This window comes from Homo sapiens, chromosome 2, assembly GCF_000001405.40.
Source record: "Homo sapiens chromosome 2, GRCh38.p14 Primary Assembly".
NCBI classification, from domain to species: domain Eukaryota; kingdom Metazoa; phylum Chordata; class Mammalia; order Primates; family Hominidae; genus Homo; species Homo sapiens.
In genome coordinates this window covers 140792984-140818597 of record NC_000002.12, presented here as the reverse complement: position 1 = coordinate 140818597, position 25614 = coordinate 140792984, and the positions used below count along the sequence as shown (strand labels likewise).

At 33.7% G+C, this 25614-nt stretch overlaps 1 protein-coding gene across 4 annotated transcripts in view, besides 1 other annotated feature; it reads left to right on the top strand.

Annotated features, from left to right (window-relative positions):
• The window catches only part of LRP1B (LDL receptor related protein 1B), a 1899594-nt gene that overhangs the window by 1312419 nt on the left and 561561 nt on the right, over positions 1-25614 (top strand). For all 4 annotated transcript variants that reach the window (NM_018557.3, XM_017004341.2, XM_017004342.1 and 1 more), the window contains one exon: positions 4792-4941. In NM_018557.3, coding sequence (NP_061027.2) covers positions 4792-4941 — 150 coding nt within the window. The remainder of the gene's footprint in view (positions 1-4791; positions 4942-25614) is intronic.
• Positions 19987-21186: an enhancer, noted in NCBI's record as "MED14-independent group 3 enhancer chr2:141554981-141556180 (GRCh37/hg19 assembly coordinates)". NCBI's record gives its function as "activates an origin of replication core promoter dependent on BRD2, BRD4, P300/CBP and CDK7 cofactors, and independent of MED14, by STARR-seq in HCT116 cells {active_cell/tissue: HCT116}" and the evidence as "EXISTENCE:reporter gene assay evidence [ECO:0000049][PMID:35650434]".

The following is a 25614-nucleotide window of genomic DNA, read 5'->3' as shown; positions in this document are numbered from 1 at the left end:
TTTCTTGAGATAGCCTAATAGTGAATCCTTCTCCATGTAATAACTAGCCTCCATCAGAGCTAAAGTTTTAATGTTTCCAAAACAGTTCTGCCCCAGGAATAGGAATAGTGATGCCATTTCTGATGAAGCCTGAAAAAATGTTCATTTTGGGGTATTTAGAATATTATAATTCTTCTACAGATATAGCATGTGATGTAACTTATTGGTATTTCTCTATGTTTTCTGTGTTTACAATGGTCAGTTTCTAGAACTTTCACAGTCCCAGAAGTAGAAGGAGTTGTTTTCTACTGTCTGAAGTTAGTGCCAGAAAAAGAATATTTAGAAGATTTTGATTATATTTATTATACCTGTGTAGAGGCCTGGAAGTTAATCCTCTACATTTTAATATTCATAGTGTGTCTATTTCCCATATCTACATCTCTACCATTCCCCTGTCTCCAAAAGTTTCACCATTGTGATACTCTTTCCAGCAAAATTTAAAAGGCCCAGTTGAATTTACTAAAATATTACATTTGAAAGCTTATAAAAATATGCAATGTTTAACACAATTTTTTTTAAATTGTATATCACAAAATTACCTGCAGAGATATTTTAAAAATACTGAGGCCCAGGACCAGCCCAAACCAATTAAACTGAAATTTTGTGGACTGGGGCTCTGGGATCAATATTTTAAAATAACTTTCCAGATAATTAAAATTCTCAGCTAGGGATAAGAATTTTGAAGTTAAATTTGCTAAGTGATGGAAATGTATTAAAAATATCTATTGGAAGCCTTAATTCTTAATTTTTTAAATTCCTTTTTTATACTTTTGCAATTTTTTAACTCCATACTGCATAGTATATTTATTTAATTTTGAGCCACTTAGAAAACAAATGAGACACATAAAATGAACTGCCTAGTCTTAATTGTAACAACACTTAAAACTTAACAAACTTAATTTTTTCAGTAATATATGAAATACTGTATGTAGGTAAATTACATTATTTTAAAAATATTTAGTTTCTTACATTAATATGTAGAATATTTCTATTATGAGAGAAATTACATAATTTTTGCAATTTTCATTGTCTCAGTAACAATTAAACTGGCCTATTTAAATCAAAATGTTCAAATAAAGTAATATATAAAGGAAAATTCGGGACTGATAATAAGGAATGTTAGAATTAAAGCATATGGATTAGCTGTATTTTTATAAAAATAGAAAAGATAAGTAAAAAGATAAATTTTTCTTTTCATATATTTTTTTCTTAATTTAAATAGTGACTTATTTTTTTCGTATACTTATTATGTTATTGGATCTAGATTTCCTCTTTTGATAGCCAGATTCAGATGATTTCAAAAATTAGTTAAATATGTCTTATAAAAATGAGACTGTATTACAATTGATACATTCTTCAGACAGATTCTATAGCCTTTGAAGATTTTCAAATTTAAGTCACCCATTCTGAGGATCCTTTCATACAGACATAATTATATTTCTTTGCATAAGTTCCAGGACAGTTTTATAAATATGCTCACATTTGACTGTTTTCTCATGGGTATTGATTTAGCATTCTGACATCACTGAGTAGTTTTAATTGCATTAAACAATTATTTGTTCACTGCCTAGTGATTCATTTTTTTAAATATTAGCACAACAGAGAACTGATTCAGAAATTATTCCAGCATCATGTATACCAATTAATCATTTAGTGTTGTTGGGACTTTAGTGAATGATAATAACAAAATGAAAAATCTTATGATGCAAAAACATTTGCATTAATAAACTTCAGAGATATGTATTATACTTCTATATATATCTATATTATGAATATAAAGCATATGTCACCAGTTTTTAAAATTCACAATAGGATTTGTAAAGCTTTGCAATTCTATTTTATGAACCTGAGAATAAATGCACCCAAGAACATTTAAGGGTTAAGCTAACATACTTAACAGGAAAGAAGATATATGGAGGGAGTTATGTGATATGCATCATATGCATACATATATATAGAGAGATTAATATAGAAACTTTAAATATTGTTTTTGTGAATCTTAAAAATATTAATTTGAAGCTATTCAATATTAAAATTAATTTAAATATTTAAGTCATACTAAGTAGAGATGTTGAATCATTGCTCTTCCTCTATACTTGTTACAGTATCTGGGTATAAGTAGTACATTAAAAAATTCAGTTGGGGCCAGGTGCTGTGGTTCATGCCTGTAATCCCAGCAGTTTGGGAGGCCGAGGCAGGTGGATCATGAGGTCAAGAGATCGAGACCATCCTGGCCAACATGGTGAAACCCCATCTCTACTAAAAATACAAAAATTAGCTGGGTGTGGTGGCACGTGCCTATAGTCCCAGCCACTTGGGAGGCTGAGGCAGGAGAATTGCTTGAACACAGGAGGTGGAGGTTGTAGTGAGCCGAGATCATGCCAGTTCACTCCAGCCTCGTGACACAGTGATACTCTGTCTGAAAAAAAGAAAAAAAAAAATTCAGTTGAGAAGATAACTAAACTTTTCTAGGCAGAACTCTTTGAAAACAAGCTATAGTTTCAAGATGGAATTAACTAAATAGTCTGCCATTTATTTGATGTTTATTAATTTTCTTGTCAATTCTAGTCATCATGCTAGACAGCAAAATAAGATGACTATGACAAAGCCTCTTTCCTCTAGGCACAGTCTAGAAGCAAAGAAGTTGAATAATAGACTCTGGTGAACTCAGATCCAAAAAAAAAAAAAAAAGAGAGACAACATTCTTCCCTCTGTGAAGCCCCCTCTTAACTAAATTGCTTGGCATTGTGTATTGCATTGATTTAGGAGGTTTTGTTTTATTTTGCTTAAACTTCCCATATACTCCCTAGCTTCTTCCCTCATTTTAGATGTAAACTTTATATTGTAGAATCACGTACATATGGAAAAGTAAACCATCCTAAATATATGGCTTGACAAATGTTGATTAAATGAGCTTGCCTATATAACCAGTGCCCAGATCAAGACACAGAATTTAGTTAGAAACACAGTAGCCCTGTGGCCAGTCACTACCTTACATTCCACACATGTCCTGACTCTGAGCATAAGCTAGCTTTACCTTGTTCCTATAGAATCTGCACTCACTAAAAGAAAAAGAAAAAAAAATAGAACTAGGCGAGGTGGCTCACACCTATAATTCCAGCAGCTCAGGAGGTTGAGGTGGGAGGATTGCTTGAGCCCAGGATTTCAAAGCTGCAGTGAGCTATGATTGTGCCACTGCATTCTAGCCGGGCAACAGAGTGAGACCCCAACTCTCAGGAAAAAAAAAGAGGGTCTAATCCATAGAGATAAATGCATTTAATGATTCACATTCTTTGTCCTGGGAATCCCTGTAGTTGAGAATTATTAGGCTATATTTGACCTTTTCTCAGTGCACTTGAATCTGTGTGTCTCTTCAATCATCTGCCCTTCCTTCTTTTCATCTTTTTTTTTTTTTAAGGGAAGGAATTATTTGTGATTTGTTCACTTTATTCTCTGAGAGAGATCCCAGGAACAGTTGGTTGCATTGTGTGCTTGAGTATATGCCCACATGTACTTTTCCGTGAGTAGTTATGGATCACAGAAGGTCAACATGGTTCTACAGAGTTATTGTTAAAATGTGGATACTGATTCTGCTGAGCATGCCAGTAGTTAAGTAGATGTGTGCCAAGGACCTTTAGCAAACAAAAAGTACCTACCCTGAGACCTCTGACAATGATGGCCACCACTGTAATATGTGAAGTTGCCCATAAAATATAATAAAGCCTAGCCTTACCTCCGTGACACACTGTGCCAGGTCGAGATTAGGGTCTTAAGTCATTGGCTTGATTCACTCACTTGCCAAATGGTTTATCTCCCCCATATCAACCACCAAATGAGCTCAATTTAATTCTGTACTTTGGTAAAATTACTATTTGCTGAAAATCTTCCATTTTTGGATTTACTTGAAGAGGGATGAAATCACCAATTTAAATCTGTAACTGCCTAAGTAAATTTTATGGAAAATAGATGAGTAATTATAAATTTCATCAGTTAAATTAGTATCCCAAATGAGTCATTACACATTAAAACTTTCTGAGGCAAAGTGGCATAATGAAGAGGGCAGGCACTCAATTTGGAAACAGAAACTTTCAAAAATATCTGGAATGTCCACTAACTAGCTATGAACACAGATTTCTTATCTACTCTAGGTACTATTTTTTGTATCTGTAAAATGGAGCTGTCATTTCTTGGTGGCACAGATTATGTTGGTAATCCATAGAGATACCTGTTAAGTGCCTATAAAAGTATAACGTTTCTCTGTCGGTTGAAACTGTTTATGTTGGCTGGGTGCCATGGCTCATGCCTGTTATCTCAGCAGTTTGGGAGGCCAAGGTGACAGGATCGCTTGAGCCCAGGAGTTCAAGACCAGCCTGAGCAAAATAGTGAGCCCCTTTTATTAAAAAAATAAAAATAAAAATTAGCTGGGCATAGTGGTGCACATTTGTAGTCCTAGCTCAGCAGGAGGCTGAGATGGGAGGATTGCATGAGCCTGGGAGTCTGAGGCTGCAGTGAGCTATAATTGCACCACTGCACTCCAGTATAAATGACAGAGTGAGACCCTGTCTCTAAAAAATTAACAAAATAAAAAACCCAAAACACCATATGTGTATTTCCCTATTAGCCAGATCTTATTTGTAAAGACAAAAATCTGAACTTTCAACTTATTTTTTTCCCCTCAAATCCAGTGGTGCTAGGTGGATATTACAATTTAAGTGGCTATCATTATGTTTAAGTTGTAAAATTTAATTACAGGTCTATCGATAGACTATGTGGAAAACAAGCTTTATTGGATCAGTTCAGGGAATGGAACCATAAATAGATGCAACCTGGATGGTGGTAATTTAGAAGTAATCGAGTCAATGAAAGAAGAATTAACAAAAGCTACAGCCCTAACCATCATGGGTAAGTGAAATTATTCTATAGCTTGGTTGCTTTGTATTGATTGGGGGTTGATTTATTATGACCTGTTAAAAGCTTAGGAAAGTTACTGCTCCACTAACACCAGAACTATATTCAAATTGAACACTTCTATGAGGTTTTCTTCTCTTCCTTCTTTTCCTCTTTAGCAAACAGACTTATAAGATTATCCAGATCAGAAACTTAGTGTTAGCAATACTAACTTTACTGTTACTGATTCTTGGCTTACTATGACTTGTATTATTTTACAATTGTTATTTTCTGTGTTCTACTCCAGTCCTCTAAAGTCTAAGGGCCTAGTGCATTTGTCACAATAAAGTCAAACCTGGCTTATCTCCATTTAATAAAGAATAGCTTGATCCATAGGTAGAATTCAAAAGACAAGACAACAGGGTCCATTTGACCAATGATTGAAATAATTTCCCATTGAATAATTCTTTTCAGTATTTTGGAGTGAGTAGAGATTTTACTTATTTGAGTGTTATTTCCATTCTTTGATTCAATCTTCTAGGGAAAAAAAGGTGCTAGGTAAGTAAAATGATTAGGAAGCTAAAAGGGAGGTATGGCTTCCATGGAGCAAATAATTAACCTCTACTATATTGGTATTAGAAGCTAATTTTTGAAATGTAAGTTTCAGTTTAAAAAGATAGTTTGAATTTTTCAAAAGATGTTAAGAGTGGTTGCATAAAAAAGAACTCTTTGTTGAGGATGGCTGAATATTGATTTAGTGAATGGCTGGCTCTAAGCTGAAGTTTGTGGTAGGTGAGGGGTGTGAGGATTGGCTAATCTACAAAGAATTTCAGTAATTGCATTTGCGGTTACAGGATGATACTCAGAAAATTATTTAATATTTATAATTCTGAATATTGTGATATATTCAGAATAATTTTTAAAAACTTATACAATTTATGAAAAGCCCATTTGAATACATTTTTACCTTTATTTATATAGGTAAAAATTTATGCCTTTTAATTCTATATTCTAAATCTTTTAGCCATTTTACTATTTCTCAGGTTTGTGAGGTTTTTTTTTGATGTTGTTGTTGTTTTATTATTTTTTTGGTAATGAATTTTCATGAGTATATGTTAATAAGTAAACAGTTGTTAATTGAGACAGATTTGGAAATTCATTTTCTAGATAAAAAATATTTTTATCATCTTTGATTTTCAATTAAATTAAAAATATCTAGATGAAGGTGAACAAGGTTTAAATATTGCAAATTTTATTTAAGAATGAGTCTTCCTCTCTCTTGTGAAGGAAAGAGATTGTTTTAACAAACCTTAAGTGTTAAGATGATCTCTATTTCAATTTTTATTATAGGGAAATATAGACATTAAAATATCTGCCTATATCACAAAGTTGTGAGAATCACTTGAAGTTCTAAATGAATGTACTTTTTGAAAAGTAGAGTTCTATGGAAATGTCAAAGTTGGCATCTGATGCCTATTAATTTGGTCCTTAAAGCACTCTCTACGTTTCCCTAGTTGGGAATTTCCAGATATGTGATAGAATACTTCATCAGATGTTTAGTGGTTTTCATTTGCTTAAGCTTATTCCTAAACTACTGTCCTTCTGCTATACCTTTTACTTATATATTTTTTCTAAATTATTTCTTAGAATCAGGTTTTTTTAAATAGTTTTTCTTCAGATGAGAAATTTAAATGTGTAAAAGAGAAATCATCTTGTATTTAAGTCTCCAATTTTCTTTTGAGTCTTTGGGCAATTTCTGTGCTATTTATAGAGCATTATATTGACATTCTTTTCATTGTATATATCCAGAAGTTACATATATATAAAACAAAAGGGTTGTACTTGACAAATAGGTTATTTTACAGTAGGAATTTATTGACAATTGTTTCATAGTGTCTATAAGATGACTTTTTTTAAAAAACAGAATATATTACTTAGTATTAGAAAATGAACAATAATATTTTGTCTTATGTCTTTGTACGTATTTTAAATAAAAATAAGCAGAGTTTAAATTCTGAAAGTAGTTGAGTAAGCTGTAACAGTCTCTAAATCATCACCCACATTATGTTTTCAAAAACTTATTTCCAATGTACTTTATGAAACCCAAACTATCAAATAGCATAACTAAGGAACTCAGTAAATTAGAGGAAAGGTGTTAAAAATCTTGAATAATATTTCAAGGAAAGTCGGTGACTTTTAAGGGAAAAAAATATAATAAAATTGTTACCTTGTAGAAATATTTAAGGCTTTATGAAGGTTTATTTCTGCTAATATTGCTGCTGACCGTGTTTTGAGTAGAAAATGAATACTAAACTAACAGAGCTCAATGCTGTAAATATAGTATCAAAAAATGGAGCAGGTATCTATCTTAGCAAAAAATAAAGATGTTAGGTTTGTTGACTGATAAATGGAAGAAGGAGAAAATTTGAATGAGATCGTAATGCCCATATTGTGTCAATGCTGTGAATCTGTTATGACATCAGCTTTGTAGAGGAACCCCGCCTTGCAGAAATTAAAATTCTCTTAACAAGTAAATTGCTGTGTAAGTATACCCCTTTTTGCCACTGTAATTTGAGTAGCTCTGAAACATAAAGAATAAATAAAAAAACAAAAAACAAAAACAAAAAAAAACCTCTTGGCCGGGCACAGTGGCTTACGCCTGTAATCCCAGCACTTTGTGAGGCTGGGCCAGGCAGATCATGAGGTCAGGAGTTCAAGACCAGCGTGGTCAACATAGTGAAACCCTGTCTCTACTAAAAATACAAAAAATTAGCCAGTCATGGTAGCGGGTGCCTGTAATCCCAGCTACTTGGGAGGTGAGGCAGGAGAATCGCTTGAACCTGGGAGGTGGAGGTTGCAGTGAGCCGAGATTGCACCATTGCACTCTAGCCTGGGCAACAGTGCAAGACTCAGCTTCAAAACAAACAACAAAAAACCTCGTAATGCCTTTACTGGCAATATGTTAACTGGACATACCAAAATACACCTAGCAGTCTGAGGATTTAAAATTTAAAGTACATTACCAAAGAGAATCAGGGGAAGAGTCTCTATAACATTTTCTGGTTTGGCTTTAAACTTACTCTTCTCCTCAGGGTTCTCCTTCTTTCAAAACCTCCACCCCTTCTATTTGAGAAGAGAAAAAAAAATGTGATGGCCTACTTGCTGCTGAGGCTGAATACTATAGTCATATAAAAAAAAACAATGAAAAAGTAAAACACAGGAACCTCACCAATATCCAGGGGATTACTGAAGACTGCAGTTACAAATGTTTAAAAAGAAATTTGTCTACAGGGATCCTGAAATTACACACCCAGAAAACAAGTCATTGTACTATGAAGTGATTAGTATATACAAATGTATGATAGTTCCCCAAAGAGGCTACATAGGTGCTGAATGATAAGTAACTGAAAGTTTGTCTTTCACTAAAAAATTTAAGAGTAGTTTATACTAAAGCTATGTTAAAAAAAATCTCTTTGAACACTTTGCACAAGTTTTTAAACCTCAAGGATTATAAATTGGAACCGCTCGAGACTCTTAGTTTTAATTAGAATAGTACCCAGATCAAAATAAAGCAATTATTTGATGACTCAGTCAAGACCTGTAAACCAAGATATGTTTCATAAACACTTTGCTATTTCTCCTTTTAATAAGTAGAGCTTAGCTTTCTTTCCTTTGAGTGTGGGTACTGTCTCATTTTTAATTAAGAGTATAAGGCGGAAGTGATGATATGTGGCTTTGGGGACAAAGTCATAAAAAGCATGAGCTTCTTTGCCCTCTCTTGGATCACTGTCCTTAGGCAAAGCCAGCTGACATGTTATGAGGACACTCAAGCAGCCCAGTGAAGAAGTACACGTGGGAAGAAAGGCAGTCAAGATTTTAGCACAAGCCAACAGCTATAAAGTAACCTCAAGGGATACTCCAAACCAGAACCACCCACATGGCTGCTCCCAGATTCTAGACCCACAGAAACCATGTGAGACAATAAATGTTTTATGGTGCTAAGTTTTGTAGTCACTTTTTGCACTGCTATAGATATTAATTCATATGTTTACCCACAGGGCAGTCATTTATTTATGAATAGACTTAGAAGTTCAAATCTTAATAGAGTTAAGCAGGTTATGAATGAGTAAAGTATGTCAGGGGTGATAAAACCAAATAGCTCTAACATAAATGTTAAGTAGGATCTGAGTCTAGGCTGCAATATCTGAACTAGCTTGGGAGTGGCAGGAATTATGATGGAGTGGGAAAAATGAAAGTCCCACTTATGGTAGAACACCTCTCAGCTCCACTTATTTTTGCCATAAGGAATATTAACCATTTGTGACATATCTTTTATTTTTGAGGAGAAGGAAGAAATACAGATATTTATTTAAAATCTCACAATTTTTAATTATTAGCAAGTAATCTTTTTTAAAATTTTTTTTTAAAAAAATACCATGCAAACTAACCTACTATATAGGCTAGCTATGAAAGCTGTGAAGGCTAACACTATAAAAGCCAAACACTCTACAAAAAAACAACAACAAAAATCTCTACAATAACCTTCTGTTGTTGCTTCAGCACAGAGGGCAGCAGGTGTCACCTCTGGTTTGGTCATCATTTATACTGGTGACATTGAGTTACTGAGAGAAAAGGATGGAATTAAGGCAGCCAACACCCAACTGTACCACTAGAGGGGACTTTAGTAGAAAAAAAAAAGTCACCTGGTAGAGCTGGTATAGTATACAGAGGAGAATAAGCCCCTTCTGTGGAGAACAGGATACAGGATTTTCTACGAAGGTTTTCTAGTGGTGTTTGAACAGAGCTTGTATTCTGCCTGGGGTAAATAAAAATTAAGGACATACTAATGTCAGGTGTAACTATTATTTGAGTTAAACTCCTAACAAGGCAATGTAACTACTTGTTGTAGAACTTGCACCCCTAACAGCAATAAATATCTATTGCCATTCATTCTTTCATTCTTTCAGCAAGCATTTATCAGTGCTCACTATGTGCCAGCTGCTGATATACATGGTGGCAAGAATCCCAGCTTGCATAGTAACATGGAAGACAGACCATAAAGCAGATAAATGAGTAAAACGTATAGTATGATAGTTGAATATTAAGGGAAAAAATAGCAGATCAGGGAAAATAGATAAGGAAGTTTATGGGGTGAAATTTGAGGCTGAGTAGCCAAGAGTTTGCCAAGACAGTGACTTCTGAGTAAAGATCTGAAGAGACAGTGAGAGAAGATTGAAGGAATGCTGTGTGAACTAACAACTGCTTAACATTTTGCTGATTTTACAGTTTTTATATTATTTTTTAAATGTTTTGTTTTTTAAAAAAATATAAAACATAATTACATTAAAATAAATCTTCCCAGGTGATAAGGTTAATTTTCCAAGATAGAAATCCTCTAACATTGTCATGGCTCAAATAGTGTATTGCCTGTGCTTCTCCTATTCTCCAGTGACAGTGCAATGACTGTTTAATGAGGACTGTTAACACCTTTCAAGTTGCTAGATAAAAGCTGACCAACCTATAGCTCTGAACATCAAATTCTTCTCCATTTTTATTTTTATTTTATTTTATTTTAATTTGGAGATGGAGTCTCACTCTGTCACCTAGGCTGGAATGCAGTGGCGTAATCTTGGCTCACTGCAACCTCCACCTCCCAGGTTCAAATGATTCTTGTGCCTCAGCCTCCCCAGTAGCTGGGATTACAGGCATGCGCCATTACACCCGGTTAATTTTTGTATTTTCAGTAGAGACGGGGTTTCACCATGTTGGCTAGGCTGGTCTTGAACTCCTGACCACAGGTGATCCACCCACCTTGGCCTCCCATCTTCTCCATTTTTAAAGATGATCTTGTCAGTTTTCCTAACTGTCAGAGCTGGCAAATACAAAAGTTTCTGCTTTCTAATATACAGTAATAACTAGTTGCTCTAAAATTATATTGACAACCTTTTCTCTTAGATATTTTTTCTAAGTATTTTGCAAATTTTTTTTATGGAATTTTCTTTTATAAAAATACTTCTGTTTGACCAGGAGCAGTGACTCACATCTGTAATCCCAGCACTTTGTGAGCTCGAGGCAGGTGGATCACGAGATCAGGAGTTCAAGACCAGCCTGGCCAAGATGGTGAAACCCCATCTCTACTAAAAATACAAAAAAAAAAAAAAAAATTAGCAAGGCGTGGTGGCGGGTGCCTGTAATCCCAGCTACTCAGTAGGCTGAGGCAGGAGAATCGCTTGAACCCGGGCTGCAGAGGTTGCAGTGAGCCAAGATTGTGCCACTGCATTCCAGCCTGGGTGATAGAGTGAGACTCTGTCTAAAAAAAAAGTAAATAAATAAACACAAATTTAAAAAAACTTCTGTTTTATGAGATAATGATATGGTAAAAACAGTTTCCTACATTATTTTAAACGATTTGTGCTATAAAATAGTATACAGTCAGCTATGTAATGTTTTACTATTGATTACCTAGTATTCAGTTACAGGGATTTTTAATTTTTATTTATCTTTTTCCTCACAACTTTTGACATTTTCCTGGTCACTAATGCCTGCAGGAGACAGTGAGGCGAACTCAAGTTAATCAAGTCACTGTTCAGTTTTTAGTGCCTTTATGAGGAGCAGGACTTTAAAACTATTGACTAAAATTAGGCTTTCTGGGTTATTTATGGATTTTATTTAACATATTTCTTTCCCTTCTGCATATGCAGTTTGAGAGCAGACTGCATATATTGTATTTACACTGAAGAGAAAGTTGAACAAATCAATTCATGGAGATAAGAGAAAATACACATGTAAAACAAATATTGTCACAGAAACAATAGTCTTATTTCTTGTTGAAAATTATGACGGAATTCACGAAATAGAAGGATGATAGCTTATCTGTATTTTGTACTTTTTTAGTGGGGCATGAAAGAGCTGGTGTAAATGGATCATAGCTTTAAAATAGAACTGAGGGTATGAATAATATTTAAGGAAACTTGAAGTCAGTATGTCTAAATAGAGAATCACTGACAATTATGTACTTAATGGTCAGCATATCATTTAATCACAGATGCTCTTGACATTGTTTATGAAAATGAGTCATGTAGTAATTTGTCAAGGTCAAGAGTTTGAGCCCTGGGCCCTATAAGGGGTATGAGTTTGAATTTACCCTCCACCCTTCACTCACACCTATGAGCTATTTATTCATTATTCTCTGCTATTCTACTATATGCACAGTTGCTCTCATTTATATATCATTCCGTATATGCTTTTTGTTGTTGTGTTGTTTTATGGCGCTAAATGATCTTTGGAAGTTGTATTTGCCATGATATTTGTAGGTAAGGAATCTAAAATTATCATGACATATACTACTTGAGTGTCAAGGTGTATGCATATATATATTTTTATTTATATATTTGTATGTCTTACCTTGGGCTGCTATAGCAAATTAACATAGGCTGAGAGGCTTTAAAAACATCAGAAATTTATTTCTCACAGTTCTGGAGGCTGGAAGTCTGAGATCAGGGTGCCAGGATGGTTGGGTTCTGGTGAGGGCCCATTTCCAGATTATAGATTGCTTACTTTTTATATCTTCTCATGGAAACAAATGAGAGAGAGAAAAGAGAGAGAGAAAGAGCTCTCTGGGGATCCTTTTATAAGTTCACTAATTTCATTCATGAGGTCTTTACCCTCATGACCAAATTACCTTCCAAAGATCCCACTCTTCAATTCCATCAAATTGGGGATTAGGATTTCAACATATGAATTTTTGAGGGACACAAATATTCAGTCTATTATATGTGTGTGTGTATGTATGCATCCATATATATATGCACACACATACGTACACAAGCACATATATAATTCTTATCTATCCATTATATATATCTCTTTATCTATTTCTCTATATGTTGGTGCAAAAGTAATTGTTATTTTGCCATTAAAGTTTTAACCTTGCATGATTTTTATCACTAATGTGTTGATCCATCCATTAGTGATCAAACTATTAGTTTTAAATAAAATAGGATTTAGTTTTAAATAAATGATTATATTGGTTAAAGCAATACAAAAGAACATAAAAATTACAAATAAAAAAGTTCATTTGTGAAGTTATGCTAATCAGAGTTCATTTTAATCTGTTTCATAAGTTAGGCAAAAGTATTTCAACTTTTAGTTAAGAATTTGGTGGGAGTTTACAACATAAAACTGCTTAATTTGTCTTAGAATAGGTTTGTGCTTCCTATAAATATCTGAGTAGCTATCTCCAACAACCATCAAATCTTAGAATCACTTGCAATTGGCTATCCTCACTATGAACTGAAAGAAACTTTGAGTCACAGGTAAAGGCAAAAAAACCACCAGCCTTTAATTACACAATTTCCATAGATATTTAAGCTCTCTGCTAAATTTTTCTATTTATCACAATTTTAATATATTATACTATTGACCTGTTTCAAGTGGCAATTTTCCAGGATGGGATTAATAAGTAAACATTAAAAAGAGATTAAATTTTGGCTACTATGGGGATCAGTCAAAAAAGGTGGGTCCTGTGTGTATTTGCAGACTCATGTCACAGTCTAATAATCAGAAAAACATTGGCTCTGTTGATCTGGTTATGCACACAACATTTGTTTTCAATCAATGTGAACCAAATGAGCTCATCATTTGTCTTTTAGGGAGCCCTTGAAAGGCTTTAGCAAACATAACCCTTAAGGACATTTGTTCATACTTTCTGTGGGCTCACCTCACAAACTTGAAGTTATCACAATAGCTGCTATGGAGATTCAAGGCACATGGGTAGTTTACCCATGGGAAAGTCAAGGCTGTCAGATTAAAATACTTTCAGACACCATCTGCATGTCAGAGAATGTCATGTTCAGTTGCTCAAGAATGAATACAGTGTTCATATTTTTGGGGATTAAAGGTTTCAAATGTTCCCTCTAGACATTGTATGATAAAGTATTTACAATTGTTTAACCTCTCCGATAACTGAAAAAAATGTGAGTTACAGCTAATGGCAAAAAAAAAAAAAAAAAAAAAAAAAAAATTAGTTTTTACCTACACTAACTCTTAAGCTTTTTCAGCTGAATTCTCAATGATAAGCTTTTAAAATGTATGTTTATTTCTTCTCAGCAAAATATCACTTGGTATAATAAATAATTTTAGAACTTTAAAAGTAAAAATCTAAGTGCTCAACTTGCACACTTTTTATGAATTTTCTAAGATATACTTAATATGATACACTTAAATAAGAGAAAAATTTAAAAAATACATACAATAAAAAACAGTAAAATTAGCATACAGACATCATCAAAAGCCTTTTTTCTACTTCTTAAGATAAATTATTATGGCTAGTTATCATGGAATCTATGGAACATTATAAATGATGGCAAATGACAGGTTCTGGGATTGATGCATTTAATCTTGTTATCCTGAAACTGAACACTCGCAGATTTACACTGAAATCTGATTTGAAAGGAGTCTATATGCTGTCTTATTATAACAAGGTGGGGAGTCTGATAATTTGAAAATTCCTTACCTCTTATAGTTCACCTTAAGGAGTCTCTTCTGTTTCCTACAATGCAAGTCCGCTTTACATGTTGTCAAGTGCAGATTTTTTTTTTTCAAAGCTTACTAAATCTCTCTTCCCCTGAATGTAAAAAGCAGCTGAAACTTCAAGTTTCAAAGGAATCTTTGCTTTTCAGAAGACCTTCCTTCCTTCCCTCCCTACCTTTTCTTCTCTCATTTACCCCACTCTGTCTGCCCTAGGCTCTCCATTGCTTTTGTCATATCTTTCTTTCTTTCTTTTTTTTGGGGGGGTTGGGGGGGTGGGGGAGGGGTTTATTTCTTTCCTTTATGAGAGAAAACAAACTTTCAATTTCTATATTTTTATTTTCTGAAAGTAATTTGAGTCAATCAGATTCTGAAATGTCCTTTACTTCTACAATTTGTAAACTATGATCTACAGAAACCTAGAAATGTTATAGAAATACCCAGAATACCACAATCAGTGCAGGTCTGTGTTTATTGTTGATGTTTTGAGGACTGGGGGTTACTGTGAGAGGTTTTGCATTATGTTTTGTCTAAAATAAAAGTTCCAGCCAGGTGTGGTGGCTCATGCCTGTAATCCCAGCACTTTGGGAGGCCAAGGCGAGTGGATCACGAGATCAGGAGATGGAGACCATCCTGGCTAACACAGTGAAACCCTGTCTCTACTAAAAAAATAAATAAATAAATAATAAAATAAATAAAAATAGCCGGGCATGGTGGCATGTGCCTGTAGTCCCAGCTACTCAGGACGCTGAGGTAGGAGAATCTCTTGAACCCGGGAGGTGGAGGTTGCAGTGAGCCAAGATCGCGCGCCACTGCACTCCAGCCTGGGAGACAGAGGGAGACTCCATCTCGGAAAAAAAAAAAAAAAAAAAAAAAAAAAAAACTTTCAATAGGACTAATACTGACCACTTTTATTCAGGGCTTAAGTGCTTAAGTATTATGAAGGACAGAAGAGAGTTGTAAGATAATGCCATGGCATTAGAAATGCTGATGAAAGGGGAAAACAGATTGATACATATAAAACTGATCCGTGCAAATCATTGTATAAAAATGCAAGTAAGACTTCCAAATGTCTTCAGAGGGGGACTTCATGAGGCATGTAGGATTGAAATTGGCCCTGGATGAAGGCTAGAATGGGAAGAGACCTAGAGGAGAGACAGCAGTGTTTGTAAGCACGTGAATGTAAGAGTCAGGGATGGTCCCTTATAAGGACAGCTTGACTAGATTGAATCTACTTAACTAAGAATTCACATATGCACCTCTCTTTCCATTCTGCTAAAAAAGTGACTCGTTGAAAACTGCACCTTTGAGGGTTTTTAAAAATGGTCTTGAATTTATAGGATTGGCTCTGGTCAATGCCTCCCTTTTTTAAGTAACAAATAAAATGTAATGCCCTGACTGTAATAAAATGAGAAATAACAGCAAAGTAATTTAAAATAAAAAAAATCAATTCAATTTACAAATGCTTTGGGCATACTATATCTGAAGAAATAGCTGCTTTTTCTCATATAAAGCATCACTAGAAGTGAAATAGCTAAAAATGCAGACTGATGCAGGTATGCTGTGCTGTTAGCTCTAAAATAACAAGTGGAATTGATGTTGATGGCTTGATTTTTCTGAAGTGGTGAACAATTTTTGGTAACATTTTGAACAATATAAAGAACAATTATATTCGTGGATAATTTAGTATTTCTTAAACCCATGTAGAAAATGCTTTGTCTTTAGATATAAAATAGAGTTACATTCTGGGTTCAGATACCTGTAAACAAGATTTTTCATCAATATAAATGTCCACTGGGGTATTCAATGATGACATAGGAAATAGGACAATTTTTATTTTCAGTGCTTTGTAAGATATTTATCATCCTTGACTCCTTCTCCACTAAATGTCAGTAATAGTCCCTAGTGATTTTGATAGCCAAAAATGACCTTACAAATTTCCTTAATTCCCCCAAGAGAATGGAAACCTTCCATTGACAACCACTGGAAAATTGCTTGTTGAGTAGAATGAAATTGAATTGTCACTTCTAAAGCAGCTCCTCTCGTGATTATTTTTTTTCTATAGCGGTTCTATAGTTTCTCCCAAGTGTTTGCCTTAAGCTCAGAGGGAACTGGGGCCAGTTTTTTTCCTTGATCCTCAAATGTATTTGTATGGCTAACTTTATTTTTGTATTTGATAGCCCTGTCTTTTTGTTTGTTTCATTACTGTTGTTGTCGTTTGTTTTCCTTTCACACTCTGGTTAGGAACTTAACTTCTTGTCGGAGCTACAGCAGTTGCCTCTTACCTTCCTCTCATTCTCTCTATCTCCAATCTGCAAACTTTCAAAATCTGCTGTATTAGGACCTGCTGTGGCATTACCTACTTAGCCACTTTCAAAGGCTGAAATAAATGAGCGTTACTCAGAAATGCTCATTTTCTTTCATTTTCATTTACTAAATCTTGTTATCACAGCATTATTAGTTTCACCTTATAAAGAAACTTAGAATCAATAAGATTTGTTAAAATCCAAAGCATTATTAGCATTATTAGTCTCACATTATAGACAAAAAAAAAAAAAAAATTAGTAAGATTTGTTAAAACCCTGTCCTGTAAGATGAACGCTCTGGGATTGTGACTCAAGTCAAGTACTGTTTTACCATAAGGAAGAGCCTTGCTCCCGTAACTCTTCCTCTCATTTTGTTCTCCTCTATCCCTACTTCAGTCATGTGCACTACATCCGGGTAAACTGTTCCTTCTTTATGTAATTATGCCCTACTTATTTCTCTTTGCCTTGTTGTTCCTTGAGTGTGTTCCCTGTTCATTAGCTGCCCTAATGGGTGAAACACCATCCACGTTTCAAGGCTATGTCTGCTTACCCCAGTGTGATTGGCGATCTTTCTCTTCTCTGAATGCATTCGTATTTTCCTAATACAGTGGAGTATTTTTGTCTCCTAAAATAATCATGTACGAACAGGTCTCGCTTCTCCATAATTTGGGACCACACTTTATTCATATATGTTTCACTCATAACACACAGCAAGACACTTTATATTTAGTACATCTCAATAATAGTAAAATATATGAATAAATAGAATAATGGCCACACACACAAACACCTGCCACTGTGACCAAAATATATTTTCAGCACAAGCAGACAAATGTTTATGTAAAATGGCCATTTTATGTAAAATGACCATGGCCATAAATATATTGTAGAATTTAAGTATTTATTGAAACACATATTAAAATAAAAAGTTAAGATATTAGGATTTGAATTGAAATGGGGAGAAAATGAGTAAGAGGAAAGATGTATAAAATATAGCCAATCATTTCTGGCATGTACTACATGTACATATGTATATAGAAATGCAAGGAAAGAAGGAATGTATTGGATTGTGTCTGTTTTCATAGAAAATAAATAGCTTAATGGAAGGAAAACAAAAACAAAAATTTAAACTCACACCAAGAGTAAAAGAGTTAAACAAAACAAAAACTTTGTAGAGAGTATTGGGTTCTTAAAGGTAGTCTCATAACCAGGCCGAACAACATTATTATTTTTAACAGTAATAATTGTTAGTCTAAATTTTTAAAAAACATTCTAGTATTTAATTTACAATTCTATACTTGTGTAATTCTCGCAGCAATCCCCTAAGAGACGTACCCTTAACATTGCTTATTCTAGAAATCTCAGCTGAGGCTCAGCTAGCCTAAATTAACTGCTCAGTTACATAGTTAATAAATAGTGCAGCAAACTTTTTTTTAATTATTATACTTTTAAGTTCTAGGGTACATGTGCACAATGTGCAGGCTTGTTACGTATATATACATGTGCCATGTTGGTGTGCTGTACCCATTTACTCGTCATTTACATTAGGTATATTTCCTAATGCTTTCCCTCCCCGCTCCTCCTCCCCTATGACAGGCCCCAGTGTGTGATGTTCCCCTTCCTGTGTCCAAGTGTTCTCACTGTTCAATTCCCACCTATGAGTGAGAACATGCGGTGTTTGGTATTTTGTCCCTGCGATAGTTTGCTGAGAATGATGGTTTTCAGCTTCATCCATGTCCCTACAAAGGACATGAACTCATCCTTTTTTATGGCAATATAGTATTCCATGGTGTATATGTGCCACATTTTCTTAATCTAGTCTATCATTGATGGACATTTGGGAATTCCCTGACTCCTTGAGTTTCCTGGCTGAGGCAATGCCTCACCCTGCTTCAGCTCATGCTCGGTGGGCTGCACCCACTGTCCTGCACCCACTGTCCGACAAGCCCCAGTGAGATGAACCTGGTACCTCAGTTGGAAATGCAGAAATCACCCGTCTTCTGCATCACTCAGGCTGGGAGCTGTAGACTCGAGCTGTTCCTATTTGGCCATCTTGGAACCTCTTCGTCCGCAGCAAACTTTTTAATCCATGATGTTTAGATTTGAAAGCCTGCATTTCTTCTAGGAATCTGTCCTATAGATATACTAAGTTATATATGCACTGAGATATATGCAAACATTGTCCTTTGCAGTGGTATTTGTAATTGCATAAGTCTGGGGAAAAATCTACATCTGCATTATAAAGGACTAGCCAAATGAATCATAGAATATCTGTAACAGTGAAATATTATGCAGGAATTAAAAATGGAATTGTGTTAGACAGCTTGGGCTGCCTTAACGAAGTACCATAAACTGGGTAGATTAAACAACAGAAATGTATTTTTTCGAGCTCTGGAGGCTGGAAAGTCCAAAGTCAAGGTGCAGGTGAATTTGGTTCCTGGTGAGGGCTCTCTTCCTGCTTTATAGCCTTCTTGACGGGTTCTTACACATCAAGAAGGAGAAGGAAAGCAAGCATTCTGGTGTCTCTACTAATCCCATCATGATGGCCTCATACTCATGACCTCATCTAAAACTAATTACCTTCCAAAGGCCCCATCTCCTTAGGGCTTCAACATGTGAATTGGGTTGGGAAGGGGGACATAATTCAGTTCATAGCAGAAGTAAGACTGTATATTAATTTGTGTTACTTTTAAAATGTATTTTAATTGCAAATATGTTTTAAAAGTCTGTATAGACTGCTCCAGCTTTTATCATATATATGCGTTTATTTAAAAAAACTTTAATATGTATAAATTAATTATATATTTTTTAACCACTGTGATGCAGAATTTATATCAGTAACTGTTATTTACAGAGCATCTACTTTGTTCCGGATAACTTACACACATTAGTGCTAATAGACATAGTAACTGTGTGATGGAGATAATGCGACTGTATTACCTCTGAAAACTGGATTGATCACGGTCAAAACTGGGTCTCTAACATAAGTCTGTCTATTTCCAAAGCCAGAGTTCTTCCCAATACACCAGTGATGCTCAGCTCCAGGAGATTTTGCTCACCAGGAGACATTTGGCAATGTCTGAAGACATTTTAAACAATACTAACTGTGCAGGGAAAAGGGGGTTGCTACTGTCATCTAGCAGGTTGACAATATGATGCTGGTAAATATCCTACAAGGCACAGGGACAGGACAGCCCCCATAACAAGGAACTATTTGGGGTAAAATGCCAATAGTGCTGGGGTTGAGAAACCTGCACTGTACAAAAAATACCCCTTCTAACCTTCATAGCCAATTGCCTCTATGAGGCCTGAAACTGTGACTCTGGGCCCATCATTACAAATTTTGGTTAACAAAAAAACCCTTAAAAAATAAATGAAAGAGAGCATTTGGTGTTTATAAAACCTGATGGTATAAAAGTTTCTTGTAAAGTGGGCAGAGAAGGGTAGGAAGAGAATATCCTTCTTTTCTGTTTATTTTTTTCTTTTAAATGTAATTTAATCAAGAGTCAGGATTTTCTTCATTTTTATATTTATGTACTGTTATAATACTGATAACTTATTTATTTGCTCTAATTTTGATTTGTTTACTGATTCAACAATTTATCAAGTGACTATCATGAGCCAGTCACTACTTAGGTTCTAGGAAAACAGCAGAGTATAAAACAGGTAACAATTCCCTGTCCTTAGGTAGCTTATATTCCCAGTGGGGGAAAATAGCATATAAGCAAATAAACAAATCAAGTTTATCAGATGGTGAAAGATACTAATGGAGAAGATTCAAGCAGGGCATATGATTAGGGAGTGTAGAGTTGGGTTAGGAGGAAGGAGCCTGAAAAATTAGAATTTTAAGTAGAGAAGATATGGCAGTTTTCACTGAGACGTGACAGTTGAGCAAAAATCTGAAGGAAGTCCGGAGTGAGTCATTCAGGTACCTGCGGGAAGAACACATAAGGAAGCGAAAACAGGAAATGCAAACTGACTATTTTGTCATATTTTTAAACACCTTTGCATTTAGAAGGAGAGGCTTATTTTTTTCTTTTTTAAGTGCCTTAGGTATAGAACTTATTTCCCTCTCTACAGAACCTTTATTCTAGTTAAAAAATAGCTTATGTTTCATATGGTTTCATTGCTGCCATTAAAGTATTATACTGAAATAGATTACATAATTAATTTATGCATATATTTACAATGAGCAAAAAATAGTGATCTATAACATTTATTGAAAGCTTGTATCTTTCATGTGTATAAGATTATTAATGATGAAGGAATTAGTTCTGCTTCATGTGTTTTGCTTTATTTCCAATTTATTATACCCAACGTTACTATTATTATGCATTTTAATAAGAGAAATTTCTAGTAAATATTTCAAGCTGTTATAGTTAATGTTTATAGAAATAATAAACTATAAACTAGTCATATAAATAAAATAATTATAGTTACTTAGAACAAACTTAGCTTTGAAGAAGTTTGTTGTTTCAATTTCAAATATTCTAAAATTAAAGCGTGAATTATTTATGTTTATGGAATATAGCAGTTAAAATTATCTAGCTGTGGAGAAATTGGTAACTTACCTTCTTTAAAAGAAGATTGGGTTTTGGGGGGAAGAATTATCTCTAGACACCAGTTTTCTGAGATCATATATTTATGAAATATTACTCAGTAGAAAGCATTCACGGAATATGGACTATAATGCTTGAGAATAGTTCTCTTAATTAAATCTTTAAAATAATTTAGAAAAATAATCCCAGCTGCTGCCTGTCTCAGGGATTGAAACATTAATTTTCTTAGATAAATGAATAATCATCAGTACAATTATATTAGGTATTCATATAATTATTATAATATTTATACCTGACTTTTGTGAGAATGTCCTACTTAAGATAATACAAATAAAGAGAAGCATGACAAATAACATATCATTTTAAAAGATTTAATGGTATTCTATTTACTTAAATATTGTGTTTACAACCACTTTTCAGTGAAAGATCTAGCGATTAATTGTTACACTTGTATTGCACTTTCATCTGTAATTTGATATATACAATCCAGGTTATTTTAAATGCACTATAATTATGCTAAATATCTTAGGTGATTCTGCTTTCAAATCATACTTTTCAAAAGAGATAAGTTACTTTGCAGTGCGCACTGAGCAATGTCACTTAGTTCAAGGACCTTCAAATACATCTACCTAAATGTTCTAAGCCATCAGTCTTCTAATTGCCATAACACTATTCATTAAAGTAACAGCAATATATGAAGTATATCCAGGCAATTTGCCCAGCACTAAGTACAGTACATAGTTGTCTTCTCTAAGTACTCAAACCACCATTAATGAAAAGTAATTGCCTATCAAAATTTACATGAAAAGTACTATGTGAAATCTCCAAAGGACTATATGTGATACTCGTCCAGCAATTTTTGTCACTTTAAAATACTATGTTCCAACAGATTGCTCCTCTTAATGCTAATTACTTAGCACAATGGATAAATACAACAATCTCAAAGTATATCATACTACTATTTTTGTAACCAGATTATAATTGATGATCAGAAGATGGTCTTATTAACATAAATGGAATAATTAAACCATACCAGCTATTTCATACTTAAAAGCATTAAATAGTGATTGTTTCTTCTTTGTAAACTGCTAAATTTTAACTTTATCTGGAATCATTTTCAGGGAAAAATACATTGTTCACTATTTATATTATTTAAAAATGAACGAATTTGAAAATGTGTGTATGTACATAGAAAGATAGACATAGATAGATAGATAGATAGATATAGAGCAGGGACATAATTGTTACATATTGCCCCTATGTCTCTTCTTTATTTAAAAAAGAAGTAGTACAGTGTTTAGAGTGGAAAATAACAGAGTGTTTTATATTAATAAAAGATGTTTGAGTTAATATAATCACAACAGCATTTTAATTAGAGTAAGAATATAAGAATAAATCAAGATAACTGAAGAGATTACTCCTGAAGTCTGCTCATATACTCCAGGTATTATCTCATGTTGGAATGTAGTGGATATCTTGGAATTGTGTCCTCATCTGGCGAGTTTAATTGTCTTAAACTGAACTTAATCAGATAGAAGCCCTTTTTACTCAGCAATTTTATTCAGCCCAATCTAGACTTAGGTAGATGGCCTCTTGTTATAGAAATTTTGGGGGCTATATATACCTAGATTTAGATATATTTTAAAAATAATGAGTGCCTGAATATCATTGTGTTTAGACTTGTTTTTCTCTCTTTTCATAATCAGTATCAGCGTTATCTGATATGGTGTAAGAAAAGTATTAAACATTACAACTTTGAAATAGACATCTGTATCAATTTAATTCTGATTAATATTGTTCCATATTTAAACTATAGCCATTCAGGAAATATTCTGAGTAGTCTAGGATAAAAGAAGAGCTCATAACTATGTGCACATTTTAAAAATACTATGCTTTAAGGTTTTTAATTGTGGGTGTTATTGTTCGTAGTTTTTATATAGATATATCAAAAATGAACAGTACTCAGAAGGCCAATGATGAGATTATTTTGTGCTGAGTTGACTCCTAATAAGATTATAGATGAGAGGAAAAAAAGATTCTGTTATCTTACCATAGAGATAAGTGCATTGTCTAAAGCTATGTGATGAGATTTAGAAAGACAGGTAGGTGACACAGAACCTTTACAAGAAGGCTCTTTAGTTAGTATAATAGTAAGACAAATAATACTTGTGGCTTGGTGAGGACCGCTAAGAAATTAGATTTAAAAAAATCATTTTTTCTCTTAAGGATGTATTTGATCTCATTATCTCTAGTATTGTCTTTAATTGAGAAATATATAAGACTTTTAAAAATTGAAAACTATTTCTTATAGTTCCATTAGAGGAACAGTAGAATATATAAAAGCTCCATAGTTATAGAAAGTGGCCGGCTGGGTGCGGTTGCTCATGCCTGTAATCCCAGTGCTTTGGGAGGCCGAGGTGGGTGGATCACCTTAGGTTGGGAGTTTGAGACCAGCCTGACCAACATGGAGAAACCCCGTCTCTACTAAAAATACAAAATTAGCTGGGCGTAGTGGCTCATGCCTGTAATACCAGCTACTTGGGAGGCTGAGGCAGGAGAAGCGCTTGAACCCAGGAGGCGGGGGTTGTGGTGAGCCGAGATTGTACCATTGCACTCCAGCCTGGGCAACAAGAGCGAAACTCTGTCTCAAAAAAAAAAAAGAAAGTGGCTATATAACAAATACCATGTGAGTAAAATTTCAATGTTATTTAACCATATTCTATGCTTTGGAAATTCATCTGGACAGCTCCCTTGAAATATGTGTGTGTGTGTGTGTGTGTGTGTGTGTGTGTGTGTGTGTTTTAAATAGCTAATATGCCTCCAAGTCATTTCTATGCAAATTAAATATTGTCATTTCATTTATTTTTTTCTCATATTTTATTTTACCATCAAGATGTTTTATGAAGAATTCCGTTTATGAGAGATCTAGTGAAAGTTGAAGAATACTTGGTGTATTTCACTGTGTGCCTGTCTGATATTTTAGCTAGGTAATTACCTATGTATTCACATTTAAATTATTTTCCTTTTCTTGGAAATTATATATATTGTGATTATCCATATAACCAAAATGATATTTCCAAATAATTTACTGCCCTATCTTTAAAACAATTTTTAAATCGTTAAGATGACTATTTATCTTTAAATTCCAAATACAATGAGGACCGTATGTATCTTCAAATTCAGAATTATATTTCCTATTCAGAAACATTATATTGTGATTTATTTCTAATGTACTGAGAACACAACTAGTAGATTTCCAGGTATAAGCATAAGGGTTCAATGAAATGATAACATAACGTTCTTTCAGAGTTTTTAAAAAATGGCCAGGTATGTTTTTGTTTATTTTATAATTTACGTATAAAACATAACATTCATGGTGAAATAAACTATAAAATAAAAAATTATAGGACGATACTCACTTTATAAACTACATTTTTTTTTCATTTTCTGATTCAAGAGTACGCTTCTAGCTAGCAGGTTTCCTGTCCAATTTAAAGTGCTGAGTTGCTATGACATAATATTTTGGTAAATGATTATTGAAATAGGCAACTTTTTCCCATGAAATAAGCTATAATGTGGAGGTTTTACATGTTTTTATTTTTAAGTGAATATATCATATCAAATTATTTGTGAAAGATAGGGACATGGCAAATGAGAACACTAAAGATCATTCATTTGTGACAATATTCATACTTTAACCTTTTTCTTAGTAATATATTTATATTTACACCCACATATATATTTCTAGTCAGTAAATTTTACAGTATTATTTATTTGGGAGTGTCAGGAGTTGGGTAGTAGTGACAGCAAAATGTTCATATTTTAATAATAAGGACAGAATAGTAAATTATCTAAGATAAGAGCAGCCATTTGAAGTAGTTTTTAAAATATTGCGATAATATATAGTGTGCTCAAACCAGATTAAAGTGCTAGTTTGTATATTCTCATCTGATATTTAAAAAGTTGTTTAAGAAGCACACTGTAAAAGGATTTAGATTAATCAAAATCAAAGTCGAAGTCATATAACATTAATGCTAATGTAGTAAATTATAAAAAATGGCAAAATACCAACATTTAAAGATATCAGAAACTTTTATTGTAGACTTATGATTCTACAATAAAAAAAGTTTAAAGCCTTACTTAAAATGGCTAAAATTTATGTCATTTAAAAAATATATATAAACTGCCTTTCACTTTTAATTTGTTATAATCATTGGTTTTCAGGTCAGTGAACATTTCTACAATATCATTTTAATGTTTACGTACTACTATACTGTATGCTTATAGATATTTTA